General features: G+C 48.6%; 1 long non-coding RNA gene across 1 annotated transcript in view, besides 4 other annotated features; it reads right to left on the reverse strand.

Annotated features, from left to right (window-relative positions):
- LINC01141 (long intergenic non-protein coding RNA 1141) overlaps positions 1 to 19,450 on the reverse strand; it is a 68,994-nt gene that overhangs the window by 34,390 nt on the left and 15,154 nt on the right. The window contains exons 2-6 of the long non-coding RNA NR_033887.1: positions 11,997 to 12,079; positions 11,385 to 11,504; positions 6,745 to 6,797; positions 5,290 to 5,359; positions 4,293 to 4,597 (exon numbers count right to left, since the gene is read on the reverse strand). This is a non-coding gene — a long non-coding RNA (long intergenic non-protein coding RNA 1141). The remainder of the gene's footprint in view (positions 1 to 4,292; positions 4,598 to 5,289; positions 5,360 to 6,744; positions 6,798 to 11,384; positions 11,505 to 11,996; positions 12,080 to 19,450) is intronic.
- Positions 6,356 to 6,856: an enhancer, noted in NCBI's record as "H3K4me1 hESC enhancer chr1:20727039-20727539 (GRCh37/hg19 assembly coordinates)". NCBI's record gives its function as "activates a minimal SCP1, AML or CMV promoter by ChIP-STARR-seq in naive H9 embryonic stem cells {active_cell/tissue: H9 hESC(naive)}" and the evidence as "EXISTENCE:reporter gene assay evidence [ECO:0000049][PMID:30033119]".
- Positions 8,488 to 9,027: an enhancer, noted in NCBI's record as "NANOG hESC enhancer chr1:20729171-20729710 (GRCh37/hg19 assembly coordinates)". NCBI's record gives its function as "activates a minimal SCP1, AML or CMV promoter by ChIP-STARR-seq in naive H9 embryonic stem cells {active_cell/tissue: H9 hESC(naive)}" and the evidence as "EXISTENCE:reporter gene assay evidence [ECO:0000049][PMID:30033119]".
- Positions 11,952 to 12,540: an enhancer, noted in NCBI's record as "OCT4-NANOG-H3K4me1 hESC enhancer chr1:20732635-20733223 (GRCh37/hg19 assembly coordinates)". NCBI's record gives its function as "activates a minimal SCP1, AML or CMV promoter by ChIP-STARR-seq in primed H9 embryonic stem cells {active_cell/tissue: H9 hESC(primed)}" and the evidence as "EXISTENCE:reporter gene assay evidence [ECO:0000049][PMID:30033119]".
- Positions 16,436 to 16,629: a silencer, noted in NCBI's record as "fragment chr1:20737119-20737312 (GRCh37/hg19 assembly coordinates)". NCBI's record gives its function as "represses an EF-1alpha promoter that drives an FKBP-Casp9 reporter gene in an ReSE screen in HepG2 liver carcinoma cells {active_cell/tissue: HepG2}" and the evidence as "EXISTENCE:reporter gene assay evidence [ECO:0000049][PMID:32094911]".

Raw genomic sequence — 19,450 nt, forward strand, 5'->3', positions numbered from 1 at the left:
AAAGAGGATGGAGCTGAAGAAGTATTCAAAGAAATAATGACTGAAAATTTCCCAAATTTGGCCAAAGACATAAACCTATAGATTAAAGAAGCCAAGTAAAACTCAAAGAGGATAAACCTAAAGAAACCCACATTAAGACACATCACAACCAAACTTCAATAAGCTAAAAACAATGAAAAAATATTGACAGCAGTGAGAGAAACAACACCTTATCTATGGGGGGAAGAAATAGCTTGGGCAACAATGGTTTATCAGAAATCATGGAGGCCAGAAGAAAGCAGCACAAAACTTTTCAAGTATTAAAAAAAATAGTAATTGTCAACCCTTAATTCTGTATCTGGTGAGACTATCCTTCAGGAATCAAGGAAAAGTCAAGACAATATCAGACAAAGGAAAAATGAGAGACTTTGTCATCAGCAGACCTACCCTAAAAGAATGGCTAAAAGAAGTTCTTGAAATATTAATGGTAAAGAAATGAATCTTGGAACCTCAGAAAGGAAGAATAACAGAAAGAGCAGAAAAATGGAGAGATATATACATAATAGATTTACCTTCCCTTGTAGAGTTTTCTAAGATAAATATATATATATTTGAGACAGGGTCTCGTTCTGTCATCCAGGCTAGAGTGCAGTGGCATGATCATGGCTCACTGCAGCCTCAACCTCCCAGGCTCAATCAATTCTCCTGGCTCAGCCTCCCAAGTAGCTAGGACTGCAGGTGCATGCCAGCATGCTCAGCTAATTTTTGTCTTTTGTTTTTGTTTTGTAGAGGTGGGGTTTTGCCATGCTGCCCAGGTTGGTCTAAGTTATATTTGATCATTGAAGCAAAAATAATAAATTGTTAGATGTGGTTCTCAAAATATGTAAAGAAAACAATTAAGACAATTATATTTTAAATGAGGAGGAAAGGGAACTTTAAAGGAGGTAAGGTTTCTATATTTCACTGAAACTGGTAAACTATTAACATCAGTAGACTGTGATAAGTTACGTAAGTATAATGCAATACCTGCTAAAACCACTTTAAAAGATCTATATACAAAGAAATACACTCAAATATACTCTAAATGAATCAAAATAGAATTATTTTAAAAATGCTCCAGTAAACCATAGGAAGGCAAGAAAAATAAAACAGAAATAAACACAGAAGGAACAAACAGCAAAAAGTATAATGACAGACTTAAGCCCTAAAGTATTAATTACATTAAATGTAAATGATCTAAATAAGTCAATTGAAAGACAGAGATTGGCAGAGTGGATTTTAAAAAACATGATCTAACTATATACTATCTATAAGAAACTTACTTCAAATATAATGATATGGATAAGATGAAAGAAAAGATTAGAAAATGATGTATCGTGCAAACAACGATCAAAAGAAAGCTGGAATAGTTACAATAACATCAGAAAAAGCATAGGAGCTTTATTTGTAATAACCAAAAACTGGAAACCACCACAATATCTTTCAATAGGCAAACGATTAAACAAACTGTGGTACATCCATACCACCAAATACCACTCTGCAATAAAAAAGAACTAACTATTGGTACATATAACAACTTGGATGAACCTCAAGGACATCATGCTGAGTAGGGGAGAAACATCTCAAAAGGCCACACACTGTATTACTTCACTTATATAATATTCTCAAAATGATAAAATCATTGAGTCAGGGAACAGATTAGTGGTTGCCAAGGTTTAGGGACAGTAGGGAAGAGGGGCAGGGGTGGGTGTGACTATGTAATAAGGAGTCAGCTCTATTTTTTTATATATTTTTTTCTTTGAGACAGAGTCTCACTCTGTCACCCAGGCTAGAGTGCAAAGGGGCCATCTCAGCTCACTGCAACCTCCACCTCCCAGGTTCAAGCAATTCTCCTGCCTCATCCTCCTGAGTAGCTGGGATTACAGGCATGCACTACCACACCCAGCTAATAATTTTAGAAGAGATGGGGTTTCACCATGTTGGTCAGGCTGGTCTCGAACCCCTGACCTCAAGTGTTTGATGTTTGATATCTGACACTAGCCACACCCACCACTCCCCCTTCCCCTTTTGTCCCACATCTAGGCAAGATAATAAAACCTGAGAGCTCCTTCCTTTGGCACTAACAGTAAATTCAAACCACAAAGGCCAGCCCATGCACCAGGAACCATTGAGGTCCACAAAAAACTCATCCCAATTCTTGAGGTCTATTTTTAAAACTCTATAATATCCTTGTGGTCAATCCATCTATAAAAACTGAAATCCAGTCCTCCTTTCCTAGTCTCTCAAGCCATTTTTTACCTGCTTGGGAGCTTTTCTGCTCTTTCTTAAGAGCCTCATTGTGTGAGTAATAAACCTTTAATACCCTCTTAGGGTGTGTGGTGGGTAGGGGAAGCTGCAGGGGATGGGTGGGTGTCTGTGTGTGTGATCATTGATCTCTATAAGGATACAGCAGTGTCTGCTCAACACTGTGCCTGGCACATAGTAGGAGCTCAACCTCAGAGTAGAAAGTGAGATATAGACGGGGACAGAATATGAGAAGCTTTGTAGTAAAGGGGTGCATACAGAGGGGTTGGACCCATGGGAAAGGGTCAGGGCTGAGGTTCCCCAGGCCCATGCCTGAAATCAGAGAAGGGTATGCAGTGCTTTACTGTCATTTAGCTCAGTTCAGGTCCATACTACAAATGCTCTCTCAAAGCTCTTCTGTGCCCAGTTCCGTGGGATAAAGATGGTCCCCTGCCCTTAGGCACTCCCAGAACTAATGCCAAAGAAGTGGGAAGGGTCTTGGCTACTCTTAGAGACAAAAATGGGACTGAGGCTTCTCCAGGGCAGGGACTGAGTTCAGGTTATCTCCAGGTCCTCCTGCCCAGCACAATTGTAGCACACAGTAGATGCTCAATACAGATTTGAAGAATGAATGAACCCACTATTCTCTCCTTTGAGCCTCTCACTAAACCTCCCCTTAAAAAGCCAACACAGGGCCAGGCGCGGTGGCTCATGCCTGTAATCCCAGCATTTTGGGAGGCTAAGGCGAGTGCATCACTTCAGGCCAGGAGTTCAAGACCAGCCTGGCCAACACGGTGAAACCCCGTCTCTACTAAAAATGCAAAAATATAATAATAATAATAAAATCAGACAGGCGGCCAGGCATGGCGGCATGTGCCTGTAATCCTAGCTATTCGGGAGGCTAAGGCAGGAGAATCGCTTGAACCCAGGAGGCAGAGGTTGCAGTGAGCCAAAATCACGCCACTGTACTCCAGCCTGGGTGACAGAGTGAGACTCCATCTTTAAAAAAAAAAAAAAAAAAAGCCAACATAGGAGTTGTTATTTCAGCTTCAGAGATGCCAGCGATGCCTCTCCAGAAGGAAGGAAGACAAGGAGAAGGGGGCTGGAAATGGATGGGAGTAGGGGTGGAGTTTCTCTGAAGTGGATCCTGTGGACCAGATCCTCAGGCAGGAGACCCAGGTCAGGCCCTGTGAGTCCAGAGTGAGCTGGTTTGTGCCCGAGTGAGCAAGCCAGGGAGGGCCAAAGGCCTGGCTTCTGAGCCTACCAGGCTTCATCCAGCTTCCTGGTGTCTTTGTGCCTGTCCCATTTTACCTCCCTAGATTCTCAGTAAATCTCTCAGTGTTTTTCTGCTGGGCCCAGGGGACTCAGGAAAGAGCTAAAAACTCACACTGATCCTTTGTGGGGAGTGTTTGCAGCAGGAGGTGTATCAGGAGAACCCTAAGGGTCCGTGAGCTCGAGAGCCCCAAGCAGCTCGGTATTGCCAAAATGACTGACCAGGGTTTGAATTGGCTTCCACTGCTTACCAGCTGTGGTATGATCTTAGCAAGTTACTTCACTGCCGAGGGCCTCAGTTCATCTATCTGTAAAATGGGGATCATTGTAGCAACCCATATGGTGAATGACAGGATTCTCTTTGGGAAGAAAGTGATTTTTTTGTGTGTTTTCATTTTGGGGTGAGAATGAAATGGCACAATGAAAGGAGAGAACATAGCCCAGTTTCTGGCAATGGCTGGTACCTCAGACATGCAGAATCTCCAGCAGAGGGGCAGGTATCTGGGAAAGAAAAAGAGAGACCCCAGGAATGATAATGAGGATGGCAATGATGATGAAGATGATGTTGGTGATGAAGGTGACAATGATGGGGATGATAGCAAGAGGACAGAAGAAAGCTTTACTAAATACCTACCTTATTGAAGGTTAGGCTCTGTTCTAGAAGTTTCTCATGCAATATCTTACTGAATTCTCCTACCAGCCATCTTGTTAACCCATTTCACAAATGAGGTACCAGACCCAGAAGTTAAGTGACTTACCCAAAATCACAGAGCTCAATTTCAGGTCTGTCCAACTGTGGGACATTAGTTCAATCTCAGTGAGTGGGAGACAGATGGAGCTGTTCTGGAAGCTGAGCCTGGGCCTCACCCAGGGAGAATTTTGCAGATCTATCATCCTCTGCAGCTTTCTGATCCTCTCTCTTGATTCATTCATTCAGCAATAAATGTCCACTGTGCCTGGCCTTGGGGCTGGGAACACTGGAGTGGCTCACATAGTTCCTTGCCTCTGGGGACACTCAGGTAGTCACAGGTGAGAAGGGAGAGAGTGCCAAGAAAACAATTAACTACAAAACAAAGCAATGAGAACCACCCTTAAGACAATGGGAACACCAAGAGGGAGTGACATTCCACCAGGAGCAGGCTCAGAAGGCTTCACAGAAGAAGTGACTTTGGGGTGGGTTTCAAGGGATGGATAGGAGTTTGAGGACAAGGTGAAAATGGCGGAGGGAACTGTCTGAGCTAAGGCACGGGGAAAGGGAAGAAAATCTGGCCAGGGAGTGCTGTGGAGGGAGAGTCCAAAGTCGCTCTTGCTTGGGTATCAGCCAGAGTAGAGGGTCCATGGAGAGGTGGTAAGGGGGTGCATTACAAAAGGACCCGCTGAATGCCAAGTTATGCAGTTTGGATGTTCCCAAGGGCAGTGGAGAGCCATGGAAAGGGGCTGAATCAGGCAGTGAGATGATCAGGTTTGTGTTTTCGAAGGCTGGCACTGGTGGCAGTGGCGCAGGGAATGGAATAGGCAGTGGTGGAAAAGAAGGAATTTGGAGAGGCAATAGGAATGGGTCTGGGCCCCCTTTCCCTGGGAGGAGGCCAGAGAAGGGGACTGACACCCCAGTGACGTCTATCTCGGACATCCTCTCCAATGCCCTTTCTCCTACTACTTGTCTTTCCCTGGAGCAACTTGACACCCCGGAGTGGAGGGCGTAGACACTGGCTAAGCACCTGGGCCCTGAAGACAGACCCAGGTTCTGCCACTTACCAGCAGAGTAACCTTGGACATGCCACGGACCCTCTCTGAGCCTCAGTTTCCTCACCTGAGCAATGAGTCACTGCAAAATTGAATACAATCATATATAAAAGGGATTAGCCCAGGGCTGGAATAAAATTGGTACTTGGCAAATGCTAATGATTATCCCCATTGGATGAATGAAGAAACAAAGGCCCCAGAAAGGGGCTGTGACAAAGCCATGGAGGGCAGCTCCTCCCACTCCATGCCCTTCACCTTCATCATGGTTCTCCTGTAAATGGCCTCCTGGCCCCTCACTTTCCTGCTCTGCACAATGTATGAGGGCCCCTCCTGGAGCCAGGGGTCAGGGCAGGGAAGTTGGCAGATACGTGGAGTATCAGAAGGGAGAAGCAATGGCAGCCGCAGGGGTTTAGTGAATTACTTCACTCCCCAGCCACACCCTCAAACTCCTCTGTCTCCCCTGCCATCATCCGACCCCCCCTGGCTATGAAACTCTCCTCTGGCTCCTTTCCCATGGAGCCATTCATGGGCATGAATGGCTTGTCCTACTCCTCCTCCCCTGCCTTCCTACAGAGCAGATAAAATTCCCCTACCCGGGAGCAGAGTACCCATGAACAGGACTTCCTGGCGACCAGGATAAATAGTGAGCCCCCAAATTACCCTTGCTTGGGTATCAGGAGCTCTGGGTTCAAGTCCCAGCTCTGCCATTAACTCGCAGTAGAATCTGGATATTTTCCTTCTCACGACCTCAGCTTCCCCATCTCAAACGGAGTGGGTCGGATTCGATGCTCTCTAAGGACCTCCCACCTCTGTCCTGCGGCTCCTTCTGCCTTCTGTTGGCTTCCTCCCTCCTCTCCTCTCCCGAGCCCTTTCCTGGTCCTCCCTGGTTTTCTCCTTCCAACCCACAGCCTCAGACCTACCCACGGTTCCCACAAGCTTTGCTCAAGCTGCCTGGGGCTCCCAGGGTCTGAAGGACACAGATCCCACCCCAGCTGTGAGCATCCCCCTGGCTGCCGTGGGCACAGTGCCTTCTGACACAGTGGTGCCTGGGCCCTCCCACTCAGAGTCAGCGGGGCCCAAAGGAAAACCCCTCAGCTCTGTCTGAGCCAACTGCAGAGGTGGCCAGAGCTGGGTTTAAAAATATGAGAGCCCAAGTACCCTCAGTGCCAACTGCCCACACAGCCTGCAGGCTGTGCTGCCCACTTCCCAGATGTCATCATGGCCACCGTGGGTGGCACAAAGGGAATGTGGTGGGGGGGTGGTGAGCCCAGAGAGGCCCGGGGGTGGCTAGTGAGGGGGACGGACATTCCTGAGAGCCTAGACCACAGAACAGGGCTGTTTACACCATCTGGTCATACCCACTTCTTTGGTCTCTGGAAATAACCAAGCCAATTCTGTTCAGACTCACAGTGTCATAGGAAGTGGAGTCTAACGAGCCTGGAATCGAATCCTGAGTTGGCCACTTACCGGCTGTGTGACTTTGGGCAGGTCACTTGCCCTCTCTGAGCCTCAGCCCCTATCTGTAAAACAGAGATAAGAAAAGTACCTACTTCCTAGGGCTCTTATGAGAATTTGATGAGACAATGCCTGCAAAGAGGCTTAACATAGGGCCCAACCCGTAGTAAGGACTTGATCAGTGGTAGTTGTCTTGGCTATTACTGTTATCATGATGTGGTATGGCTGGTCTTTGCTAGAACTCCACCAAGGAGCAAAGGAGAGAGTAGGAAATGAGATGTCCTTGTTCCACTCTCTTGTCACATCCAGAACCCCCAAAGTCCAGGCACATCTGGCACCCATGAAGCTGACAATGGGGTTCCTTCTGTTTGTTAGATAAACAGGGATACTGGGGCCCAGAGAGGGACTGTGTCCTGCTCAAGCAAGCTGGCAGCAGGTAAGAGTCAGAAGCTAGAAATTTGTATGACCCTCTCCAAGGTGAGAAAAACATAGCACCCCTGGAACTGGGAGGGCCCCTAAAGATTTCCCCTCCTTTTTCCAGAAAGGGAAACTGAGGCCCAGAGAGGGAAAGGGATTTGTCCAAGTCATGAGACAGCTAGGACCCAAGCCAGGATTCCCAGCTCCCTGACCCGGGCTCTCTCATTCCGTCCCGCCGCCTCGCCCTGCTCACTCCTGCCCCGGCCCTGCCTGCAGTTCTCAGTCCCAGGGTGGGCAGCTGGGCAAGGCGGGAGCAGGAGCCTAGCCCTGCTCTGCTGGGGCTGGGGGCTGCTCTGCTCCCCCAATCCCACTGGAGCCTGCTGCATCCTTATGTAACCCGCTCCTGCTTTCATAACCCACTGCTGCTTCCTTCTGGAGTGGGAGCTCCGGGAGCAGATTGGAACGCAGGGAGACATGAGCTGCCTTCCTATGAAAATAGGGTCATTACCAGCACTTGGGCTCCAGTGCCAGCTAATGGCCTTCTCTCATGGCCTGGGGCCTGCCAGCCTCTCCCCAGGCCCAGGGAAAGAGGAGAGGCCCAGGTTGGACTGGCATCCCATGCCAGGGCAGGGCACAGAGGGAGATCACCATCTTGGGATGCGGATGGATTCTCTACTGCTCTGGCATCCAAGGCAGGGACCAGCTCCCAGACTCCAAAGACCCAGGCAAGTGTATCAGCCCTAAAGAGTTCCCTGGAGAGAGGCCTGCAGGCAGGCACATTGGGGAGGCCATAGGCTCTCAGGGTTGAGTTGGAGTTGGAGCATCCTGGTCTCTGGCCAAATAACTATAGACACGTCAGTTCACTTCTCTGTGTCTTCATTTCCTTATCTGGAGAATGGGACTAAATGAGGACCAACCTCATTGGTTGCTGGGAATATTAAATGAAATTCTGACTGGCAGGTGCCTGGCCTAAAATAATGGCTGAGGAGTCAGCATCCCCATTTAGCAGATGAAAAAACTGAGGCTCGGACAGGTGACGTGACTTTAGGAGTACACTTCATCTAACAGCAGCAAAGCTATACATAAGACAGCAAACTCATCGTGCACTGAGCACATGCTACACATACGTGGACTGAGCTTCTCCCCAAAACAGCCCTATGGGGAGGTGCTATTATTATCCCCATCTGACAGATGAAGAACTCATTTTAAAGGGGCTAAGTGACTTTCTTAAGGCACACACTTGGGAAGCGGCCGAGCCAGGATTTGAACCCAGGCATCTGGCTTCAGAGTCTGAGTTCTTTGCCACCCCTACAAAACAACCAGGACCAATAGACTGAGACTGCAGTAAGCAGGAGTTAAGCTAGACGCGAGTCAGGAAGTATGCCCCTTCGGCTTGCCACCATTCTTTAGAATCCCAGTCACCTTCCACCTTACCTCTCTTTGGCTGCCACTGTGCTGTGTGATCTTGGCTGGGCCACTTAACCTCTCTGGGCTCTTATCTCCGCATCTGAAACAAGGAGGCTGATCCCTAGGCTAACAATTAGCAGGGTCATTGTGAGGACACATTAAGATAACGACTTGTAAACTGCTTTTCAGCTGAGAAAGTATCACACAGCTGGGACGGCTCATCACTTCCCTGGCCTCCAACTCCCTCCAACTCAGCAGGAACCCGCTAATGGACACCAGGAGCCTCTCAGCACCTCTGGCTGTTCAAACAAACACCTCTCCCCTCACTGCCCCTCCCCTGGGCTGCCCTTTGGATACAGAGGCAAAGCTCCCAGTCTTCCCTCTAGCGCTGGGGCAGACCAGTCTGGACACTTGAGTCACAGCCTTCCTGCCTTCCCTCAACAGGGCATTCATTTTAGCTGAGCCCCTGCTGCGTGTTTCATGGGCACCCTCACACCTAATCCTCGTGATTACCTCCACGAAGCTGGGCTTCATCTCCCCCATTTTATGGATGAGAAGCTACAGCTCAGAGAGGTGAAGTCACTGGCCTGGAGTCACACAGCTGTCAACCCAGTAGAGCCAGAATTCAAAGTAGGTCTCCATGCCTTTAGTGGCCTCACTAACCCACTTCTCAGGAAATGGGTCTTGTGCCTATTTTGCAGAAGTGACTGATGCTCAGGAAGCTGAAGGCACTTTGTCCGAGAAGCCAGGAAGAGGAATGGCCAGGCTGGCAACTCAGAGCAGCTGCCTGCTACCAGGCCCGTGCTCCTCCCTGCAGTTGGATGTCTTGACCAGGATGCACAGATGAGACCTGTGACATCCATCCCCCCAGAGAAGCCAGGCAGGTGGACACCATCATTGTTGATGGAGAAGCTGAAGCCAGACAGACCTAGAAGTTTGCCCAAGTCCCAGGGCAAGGAGTGCCAGCGTGAGAACTGGACCAAGTCATGTCCCTCTCTGGACCTCAGTCTCCCCAGGTATATGAGAAGTGCCGGACCCTGGCTTGGTCAAGTAGACCCATTAAGGCCCCTCCAACTCCAGGAGGTTGTGGCCTGGGCAGAAATCCCCAAGCCTGGCTGATCACCAGAATTCCCTGGGAACATGCTTAAACCCCCAATGCTGGGCTGCACCCCGAGAATGTCTGATTTGGTGGAACTAGGGAGGGAGCTGAAAACCTGCGTTGTTTTATCCAGCATGACCTCAGCTCACGGCCCCCAACCCCAAGCTTCTGTGATCAGCCAAGTCAAGATTCCCAATATAGGACAATTTTCCCAGTGCCAGATGGAAACCAGTCCCCTGCCTGCCTTCACAGAGTTCACGGCTGGGATGGGAGGTGGACTCAGGGGCCTGTGGGACTCTGGGGTAGGTCAGAGATGGCATCCAGGGGTCTCTGTTGCAGACCACTGCTCTGTTAGAATTCTAGATTTTGAATTGGGGTGAGACCTTGAGAAGTCTCAGCCTTCTTACTTGAGTAATTCTTCATTTGGCAGATGTTTATCAGCCCCCACTATGTGCCAGGCACTGTTTTCGGTGCCAGGGTGTAGCAGTAATACAATGCCTTTGCTCTCATGCTGTTTCTGTAATGGCGCAGAAGACAGTCAATAAACAGCCAGGAGCAGCAGGGCCTTCCGCAGCTCCAAACAGCTTTCCCCAGGCATGATCTCTCCAAATCTGCCCTGAATCACAAGCTGGGAGCTTAGACCCCATTTTACAGATGAGTCACTGAGGCTCCGAATGCCATTTCCATACCATGTCTCCCCACACTGGGCAGGCGACACCGCCGATGCTTCCCAAGCAACCCTGTGTGTCGGCTGCTGATTAGAACTTTCCTGTTGCCATGGCAACCCCCCTGGGGAGGCCTGCCCTACTTTGCATCCCTGGCATAGGGCGGGCAGCCTCACCCCGCACCCCTGAGACAGAGAGATGGGGTTTATCCCACTTGCTGCAAAACAGGTCCCGCTGGAAGAAGACCTGGGCTCCCTCACTCAGATGTTCAACCAATGTTTAGCAGCACCAACACCGTCCCAGAGACTGAGCCAGGCCCTGGGACAAGAGGAAACATAAGCTGTGGTCCCTGCCCTTGCAAAGCACACCGATTCACAGGGGAAGCCGACAGATAGCCACGAGCCTGCCTGTGAGGCTGAGGACCACAGCAACGATGCCAGCAACTCAGGGCCAAGGCAGTTCTGAGCCCTTCCCAAGGATTCACTCATTTACTTCTCCCATTAACTTTTGGGGTAGGTATCAACAGTATCCCCATATGACAGATGAGGAAACTAAGGCCTCAGAGAGGTTGAGAACCTTGCCCTAGGTCACACAGCTGAGAAGCAGGAGAGCCAGAACCTGGAGACAGGGAGACTCTGAGCCACTCTGTAGGTGTTTGGTGAAGGGACCCCGACTCCATCAGGGTGGCCCAGGAGGGTTTCCCAGGGAAGGTATCTATCCTCCAAAGTGATCTCAGTAAGAGGAGAGGAGGGTAGAGATGGGAGCATGGTGGAGCGGGGACTCTGAGAGCTTCTGATCACTCAGTGTTGGGGTGAGTGGCCTAGTCCCCCACTCTGTGCCTGGTGAGACTCAGCTAGGCCTTGGGACACACGACTTGGGAAAAGAAAATACAATCCAGGTAGCCAGTGCTGGAGAGGGGCACCGCAGCTACAAGGCACGGGCCTCCTGAAAAGGCTGAAATGCCTCTGGAGGCTTCCAAGGGAGCAGTTTGGGACAGGTGTGCACACACTCCACTCCCTGCCCATCTTCCCACCCTTGGGCAACAACACCCTGTACCTACGCACCTGTGAGGAGGAGAAACTCGGAGTGCGGCCGGGCTTAGTCCTTGCAGTCCCCGCACAAAAATACTTTTATTTCCAGGTGAGTGTAACGGTTACGAGTGTGGACTGTGGCGCTGACTGCCTCTGAAAATGCAGAGAATCATCAGTCCTGTGTATATCATAGTGTTGTTGCAAGGGCTGGATGAACAGACACCTACAAAGTTCACAGTACTTGGCACAGAGGGTGTGTAACTGTGAGCTGTAATTATCTTTGTAGCACGTGGATGCACATGGATCTGCATTTTTACACAGCTACATGTGTGCAGGTGTACAAGCCCATGCACACAGTGAGGGCACACCCATGAGAGCACCCCATGTCTTGCCAGTATATGTGTAAAGCTACCTCCTCGAGTGGGCTTGAATGGACACTAACTACCGTGGGGAGGGGGGATTAGCAGGGAGGAGCCAGTAAACACAAGCACCCACAGGTGTCTGCAGGGAGGGAGGGCGCGGCACGCCCATCCCCAGAGAATAGGTGCCTTCCTGTGCGTGCACCTGGGCTTGTATATTGGCGGGGTTTGGGCAGCGAGGGGGTAGGGATGAGGATATGTGATTTGAGGTTGAAGCATTACAGACCTGGGTTTAATTTATGTTGAGATGAGGAAGGATCTGGCTGTGTTTTTCTCCTTGAACCACTGTGATGTAAAGAAATCTCAGCTCTGCAAAACAAAGATCAATCAGCAGGGAAAATAAAAAGTGCTTAAGGCTTAAACCTCCTACCACAGGCCCCCAGGGAGTGTTAAAGCCACAGTTGAGGAAAGAGAAACATGATTAAGATTGAAGTCAGGAGTCCACAGAGGGGGAGTCACGCCAGCCAAGGGCTTTCCTGTTTTCCCAGAAAGGAGGCTTCCCGGAGGAAGCCATGACCCGTTGGAAAACACTCAAAAGCCTGTCTGGGCCCCAGCCTTCCCCAACCCATTGAGAAGATGAGTCTTCTTGGGAGAAAAACAAACCCTGCTTTCCCCACCATCACCTTGGATCTTACTTGGAGGGAAGGGACTAGAAAGAAAAGACTACTTGGGAGATTGCCCTGAAATAAGACCTCCCCTTTCTCCTTCCCAGGAGGATATCTGTGCCTCAAGCTATCAGCAGTTATACAAGACCACAAACCCAAGTAGCAAGGAGGAAAACACACCCTGGAATGAGAAGCCCCCTCCTGCTCGTTTAGCACTTAAGAGTTTTTGAAGGCATCACCTGGTGAATCTGCGGCACACACAGCGAGACTCAGTTCCTTGCTTGAGATCACACAACCTTCCATCAGTAAATCTAAGATTCGACCCCTTGTCTGACTCCACTTCTGGTGTCATTTTCTTTACATCACAGCACTGCCCAAATGTAACTGTGGGGACTAGTGTATGCCACCCGAAAATATGAAGGATGGTTGAGCTGAAAGCAATAAGAAGCAGCAGGCCAGGCACGATGGCTCAAACCTATAATCCCAGCACTTTGGGAGGCTGAGGCAGGAGGATCAACTGAGCCCAGGAGTTTGAGACCAGTCTGGGCAACATAGGGAGACCCTATCTCTATAAAAAAATAAAAATAAAAATAAAAATATTAATTAGCCAGGCATGCAAGACAATCCTAAGCAAAAAGAGCAAAGCTGGAGGCATCTCATTACCTGACTTCAAGCTATACTACAAGTCTACAGTAACCAAAACAGCATGGTACCCATACAAGAACAGACATATAGACCAAAGGAACAGAATAGAGAACTCAGAAATCAGACCACACACCTACAACCATCTGATCTTTGACAAACCTGACAAAAACAAGCAATGGGGAAAAGATTCCCTATTTAATAAATGGTGCTGGCAGAACTGGCTAGCCCTATATAAAAATTGAAACTGGACCCCTTCATTACACCATATACAAAAATTAACTCAAGATGGATTAAACACTTAAATGTAAAACCCAAAACTATAAAAACCCTAGAAGTAAGTCTAGGCAATACCATTCAGGACATAGGCACAGGCAAAGATTTCATTATGAAAACACCAACAGCAATTGCAACAAAAGCAAAAATAGACAAATGGGATCTAATTAAACTGAAGAGCTTCTGCACAGCAAAAGAAACTATCATCAGAGCGAACGCACAGCCCACATAATAGGAGAAAATTTTTGCCATCTATCCATCTGACAAAGGTCTAATATCCAGAGTCTACAAGGAATTTAAACAAATTTACAGGAAAAAAATCAACCTCATTAAAAAGTGGGCAAAGGACATGAACAGACACTTCTCAAAAGAAGACATTCATGCAGCCAAGCAACATTTTTAAAAAGCTCAACATCACTGATCATTAGAGAATGCAAATCGAAACCAAAATGAGATACTGTCTCATGCCAGTCAGAATGGCTATTATTAAAAAGTCAAAAAACAACAGATGCTGGTGAGGTTGCAGAGAAAAAGGAGTATTTTTACACTGTTGGTGGGAGTGTAAATTAGTTCAACCATTGTGGAAGACAGTGTGGAGATTCCTGATAGACCTAAGGCCAAAATACCATTTGACCCAGCAATCCCATTACTGGGTATATACCCAAAGGAATATAAATCATTCTATTATAAAGATACATGCACGTGTACGTTCACTGCAGCACTGTTCACAATAGGAAAGACATGGAATCAACCTAAATGCCCATCAATGATAGACTGAATAAAGAAAATGTGGTACATATATGCCACGGAATACTATGCAGCCATAAAAAGGAATGAGATCATATCGTCTACAGGGACATGGATGGAGTTGGTTGGAAGCCATTATCCTCAGCAAACTAATGCAGGGACAGAAAACCAAACACCACATGTTCTCACTTATATGTGGGAGCTGAACAATGAGGTCACATAGCCACAAGGAGGGAAACAACACATACCAGGGCCTGTCAGAGGGTGGGGTGTGGGGAGAGGGAGAACATCAGGAAGAATAGCTAATGGATGCTGGCCTTAACACCTAGGTGATGGGATGATCTGGGCAGCAAACCACCATGGCACACGTTTACCTACGTAACAAACCTGCACATCCTGCACATGTAATACCCCTGAACTTAAAAGTTTGAAAAAAAAATGGAAAAAGAAATAAGCCAGGCATGATGGTACGCACCTGTGATTTGCAAGGCTGAGATGGGAGGTTTGCTTAATCAAGGTGGAGGCTGCAGTGAGCTGTGATGACGCCACTGCACTCCAGCCTGAGCAACAGAGTGAGACCCTGTCTTAAAAAAAAAAAAAGAAAGAAAGAAAAAAAAGCAGATACAGGAAAACTCTCGGCAAACTCTCAGCCCTCCCTCTATTGGCCTAAAAGCAGAACATAGATTTACAAAGACAAAAGGTATCCTGACCCCCTTCTACCAGGAAGGGCAAAGGTTAACTGTTGAAGACAACTATAGATGCCTATCACCTGGAGGTGATACCAGAGGGATGGGGACTAATGAGCTTTACTAACCTTGATCTGCCAGCTGTTACCTTCCCCCAAGTTGCTGCCCCTCAAGACTCAAAGTTCTTTTCCTGTGTCTTGTCACTTCTCCAGAAATTGACTGTTCTTTATTGAAGATATTCTATGAGCTGGAATTCAAACCAGCTCTCCGAGAACTACTCATCCCCTGGCTGTCTCCCATATGGATATGAAATATCCATGTTAATAAACTTTGGTTTGTTTTCTCTTGTTAAGCTGTCTTTTGTAACAGCAGTTCTTTCCAAGAACCTATAAGGGTTGAAGAAAAGCTTCTACAAAATATACCAACAGCGATGCTCATAATAGAATAGCACAGGGTCTGCTCTCAGGGAGTGTACTGGCACAAAACCGAACAGTCAGAAACAGGGGCTGGTTTGTGCGGTTCCTAGTCAAAGAGTCACAGAAAAGGAGGGCTCCCATGGCCTGGGTGGGCAAGAATGCTCCCAGAGGATGGGGAGTTTTTCTGGGAGCCTTAGAGGATAAGTAGGGTTTGGATAAGTTGTGGGGTACAGAGGCATTCTACGCAGGGAGACATTATGAGCAAAAGGGCAGAGACCAGAAGGAACTCGGTGTGGTGGGAGTGGGGTAGGGAGGTGGGCATGAGTAGACTGGATGGGAGATTGTCTGTTTGGCAGAAAGGGAGATAAATGAGGTTGGGTGGAACAGATTGCCTGGACCATAAACAGGAGGCCCAGGAGACACAACTGTGAGCTTCTTACCATGCTTAGGCCCAAGGTGGTGCAGGCCATTCAGCAGGTACTTAACATCTTTCTGGATGGATTGATGGATGGATGGATGGATGGATCGACGGACAGATCTCTAGTCATGTATGAATACATGAATAGAGTGAATGAATACATGAATACATGAATAGAATACATTAATAAATAGTACATGGTGGGAAAAGTGAGTATTACAAAAGGGGATCTGTGCTGAGAACCGGGAGTCTGAAGTTCAGGTTCCTGCCCTGCCACTAACCAACCATCGGAGGGACACTTCTGGGCCTCAGTTTCCTCATCTGTAAAGCCCTGGTGATTCTCGAGAGTTCTTCACACTTCTTTGTAGACAGACGCCGGGGCTCAGGCAAGAAAGCCTACGCTAATAAGCAGCCCCAGGGGAAGCCAGCAGCAGGGGCCCTTCCCTCCTGGCTAAGAAAACTGCCACTGGGGAGAAGAGGAGGAGAGCCCAGGCCTAGCTCTGAACGTACCTGATGTCACTTCCCCTCCCTGGTCCACAGTTCCAGCAGATTCACTCCAGCATTTTAGGATTCTGCGAGATTTGTCTGAGGGGCCTGATTTATAGGAGAGAGGAGGCCAGCCTTGCCCCTCCCTTACCCCACTTAGGATGGTAAAGCAACTTGGGAAAAGCATTTACTCTCAGCTCCCGGAATTACCCTTCACTTTCCTGGCAGATAAATGGGGCAAAACAGAAGATGCAGTTACATTTAAATGGAGCGAGGCAGGTGGAAGTTTATAAGATTTGAATACACTTTTTGGCTGCTTTTGAATATTCATTTGCCCAAGGGAGAATTGGGCAGCCAGAATCTATGGGTCTAAAGGAGGTTATTTAAGGTTGGGGGGAAGGGTTGGCAGGAATCCCTGTTCATCAGACTCTCAGGAGCTAATTGCAATTCTTCACCAGCTAAAATGTCACAGGCTCAGAGTAAATTCTGGGAGTTGATACACCTCATGGTTACTGTTGCCATAGCAACTACCTCCCTGTAACCATGTGTACCAGCAGATCACAGCTGACAAGACAAGCCCAAGGAGGTGAATGATGGGGAGCCAGCCCAGGACTCCAGCAGGCCCCCAAGAGTTCTAAAATATGTCTCATAAAGCTAGAATACACTCTGGGCTTCCCAAACATCCTTGAGAATTCTGAAACAAGAGCCCAGAGTGCTGGAACAAGCTGGAATTCCAAAATCTGTCCTCAAATTCCAGAATACTTTCCCCAAGGTCCAGAACACACCCCAGAGATCCAAAGACTCCCCTCCATTCCTGTCAGTCTCTCCAGGTATGCACCTCCAAATCCTAAAGCGTACCCCTGGATAGCTAGAGCAGGCCCTTAAATTATTCTCACCCTCTTGAATTGATTCTTCCTGGGAACTGGCTTTCTGTCTGAACTGCAAGGATTAAGGAGCACTCAGGGCTTGTGTTGGAGAAGACAGTCGGGGGGGTGACCTGCGGAGTGAGCAGATGAAGGCCTTGTCCTGATCCCTTGGAAACACAGAGCATCACAGACGTGCCTCATCACATGCCAGGCCTCAGAGTCAAGGGTGGCTCCCCTGGCCCAGGCATCCCTGCTGCACTCCATGCTGTGTCTTATTCTCCGCAGTGGGGATGACTCGCCCCTGACTCATCCCTGCTCTCTGCCAAGGCTCCTGTGTGACCATTAGCACATCGATCCTGGGGCCCTTGGGAGGGGGTGAAATTGGAGGACCTCCTGGCCCTCAGAGAAAGCTCCTCTTTACCCAAGCAGCCTGAGGTGGGATGTGGCTGAGTTGGGAAGCCTCACCCTCCCTGCCTGGGGCTGGGGGAGCTTCCTGTCTGCAAGTTGACCCTTCCCCAATCATCCCTGATGACACAGTCACTCAGCAACTCCTGAACAAGGGCACCATCTCCCCAGATGGGTAGGAAACCTCAGCACTATCTTAGACTCTTCTCTCTTCCTTCCCCACCACATTAATTCACTGCCCAGTTGGCTCCATTCTTTGTTTCTTTCTCGCCTGGATCCCATCCCTCCCACCATCCCCACTGCCTCGGTCCAGGCCTTGTTATTACTTAGCCTCCACTCCTGCCCTCTCCACCTCATTGGCCAAATGCAAGGCCCTGGTGACTTCACTGCTCTGCCCAAAGCATCAGTGCCTGCTCCCACGTGCTGCCCATCAGGTTCAACCATCTCACCAAGAATTCAAGGCCCCCGATATCTGGCTTTGTCCAAAACTCAACTTCTCCCAAATCCTGACGGTTGTGTGAAATAGCCCCAAATTCCTGCCCTCCCAAACCTTTGCTTCTTCTCTCTTCCTCCTCAAGGGCTCTTTGCACCATCTCTAAATCTCCAAACCAGTTTAGGGGCCACCTCCTTGGAGACTACTGAAGCCATTACTGACCTTGCCCTTCTCTGAAACCCCAGAACTTCTTGTCTGTGCCACTGTTTTTAGAGTTAGCTATGGGTTCTCAGAGCTGCAAGGAGTCTTAGAGGTAATTAAGTCCAGTGTTGTTGTTTTTTTCTTAATTTCTACTTTTATTTTAGATTCAAGGGGTACATGTGCAGGTTCATTATATGAGTATATTGTGTGACGCTGAGGTATGGGGTATGATTGATCCCGTCACCCAGATAGTGAGCATGGTTACCCAAAAGGTAGTTTCTCAATCCAGTGGTTTTCAAACTTGGCTTTGTGACACCCTGAGAAGCGTGGGGCCTTAAAGACTGTAGGAGGAGGGTGGTCCTGAGGGGTGGTCCAGTCAGCAGGGACACAGCCCTCTACACCTGCTCCAACTCAGAGCAGCCTTACCTTGATCTGTCTTAGACGGGCCATTCATTCATTCATGCATGCATCCATTCATCAGCTGTTTACTGAGCACCTTCACTGTATCAGCTTCTATCAATAAGACAGTGAATAAAGAAACTAAACCTGTAGCCTCATGAAACTTGCAAGCTACCGGGGAAAACAGACAAGAAACATATTAACAAATAAAGACACAAGAAAATGTCAAAAAGTGGTAATTGCTGAGGACACAGTAGGATGGGAGTAAGATCCAGAATGCCGTGGAGTGCTCAGGGTATCATTAGATGGTCTGGCCGGGGAACGCTCCCTGAAAAAGTAACATCAGAGCTGACCCCTGGATGGCAAGATGAGGGCCAGCGATGCACAGCGTGTTCTAGGGGAAGGATAATCATGACAAAGAAAAGACCAGTGCAGAAGCCCCAAGGCAGAAACAAGCCTGTCATCTTTAAAATCACAGAGGGCAGAGAGCAGTGGCAGAGCTGTCCAAGATGAGACTTTTGTAGCCAATTCCACTTGAAGAATTGGATTTTTCTGCCAAAAAAAATAGATAGACAGATAGACTTATAGACAGAACCCACTGACCTAGTCTAATCCTGCCACTTCACAGAGGAAAAACGAAGATCCAATGTGTCCAAGGATTGTCCAAGGTCCAACTAAGAGCTGGTGGCGAGCTGGGACCAGTGCCCAGGTCTCAGGATGCTGCCCGGGCACCATCTGTCACTCCTTGTGAGTGGGTCACCCAGGGCAGGCCTCCCTGGCCTTTGACTTTCCCAGCCACTTGGCCAGCCCTGCTCTTGATGCCAACCGCACCCTACCCTGCACACAGGTAAGAAGTGTGAATGAGACAATGTCTCCCTGGCCAGCCGAGCTCCAGGGAGCAAGCAAGAGACAAATAAAAGGCTTTATTGGATTTGTTAAACACGCACCCTGTGGCCAAGGGCCTCCTGGCACCAGACGGCATCACAGAGGGAAAAAAGAAAAGCGGATGATGAAATTAAAAGGCATTTCATTGCCAGAGCCAAGGCTGACATGCACAAATCCAGAATGTGTCTCTCTCCCTGGCTTCTCACCCACCTGTC

This window comes from Homo sapiens, chromosome 1 (assembly GCF_000001405.40).
Source record: "Homo sapiens chromosome 1, GRCh38.p14 Primary Assembly".
Taxonomy (NCBI): Eukaryota; Metazoa; Chordata; class Mammalia; order Primates; family Hominidae; genus Homo; species Homo sapiens.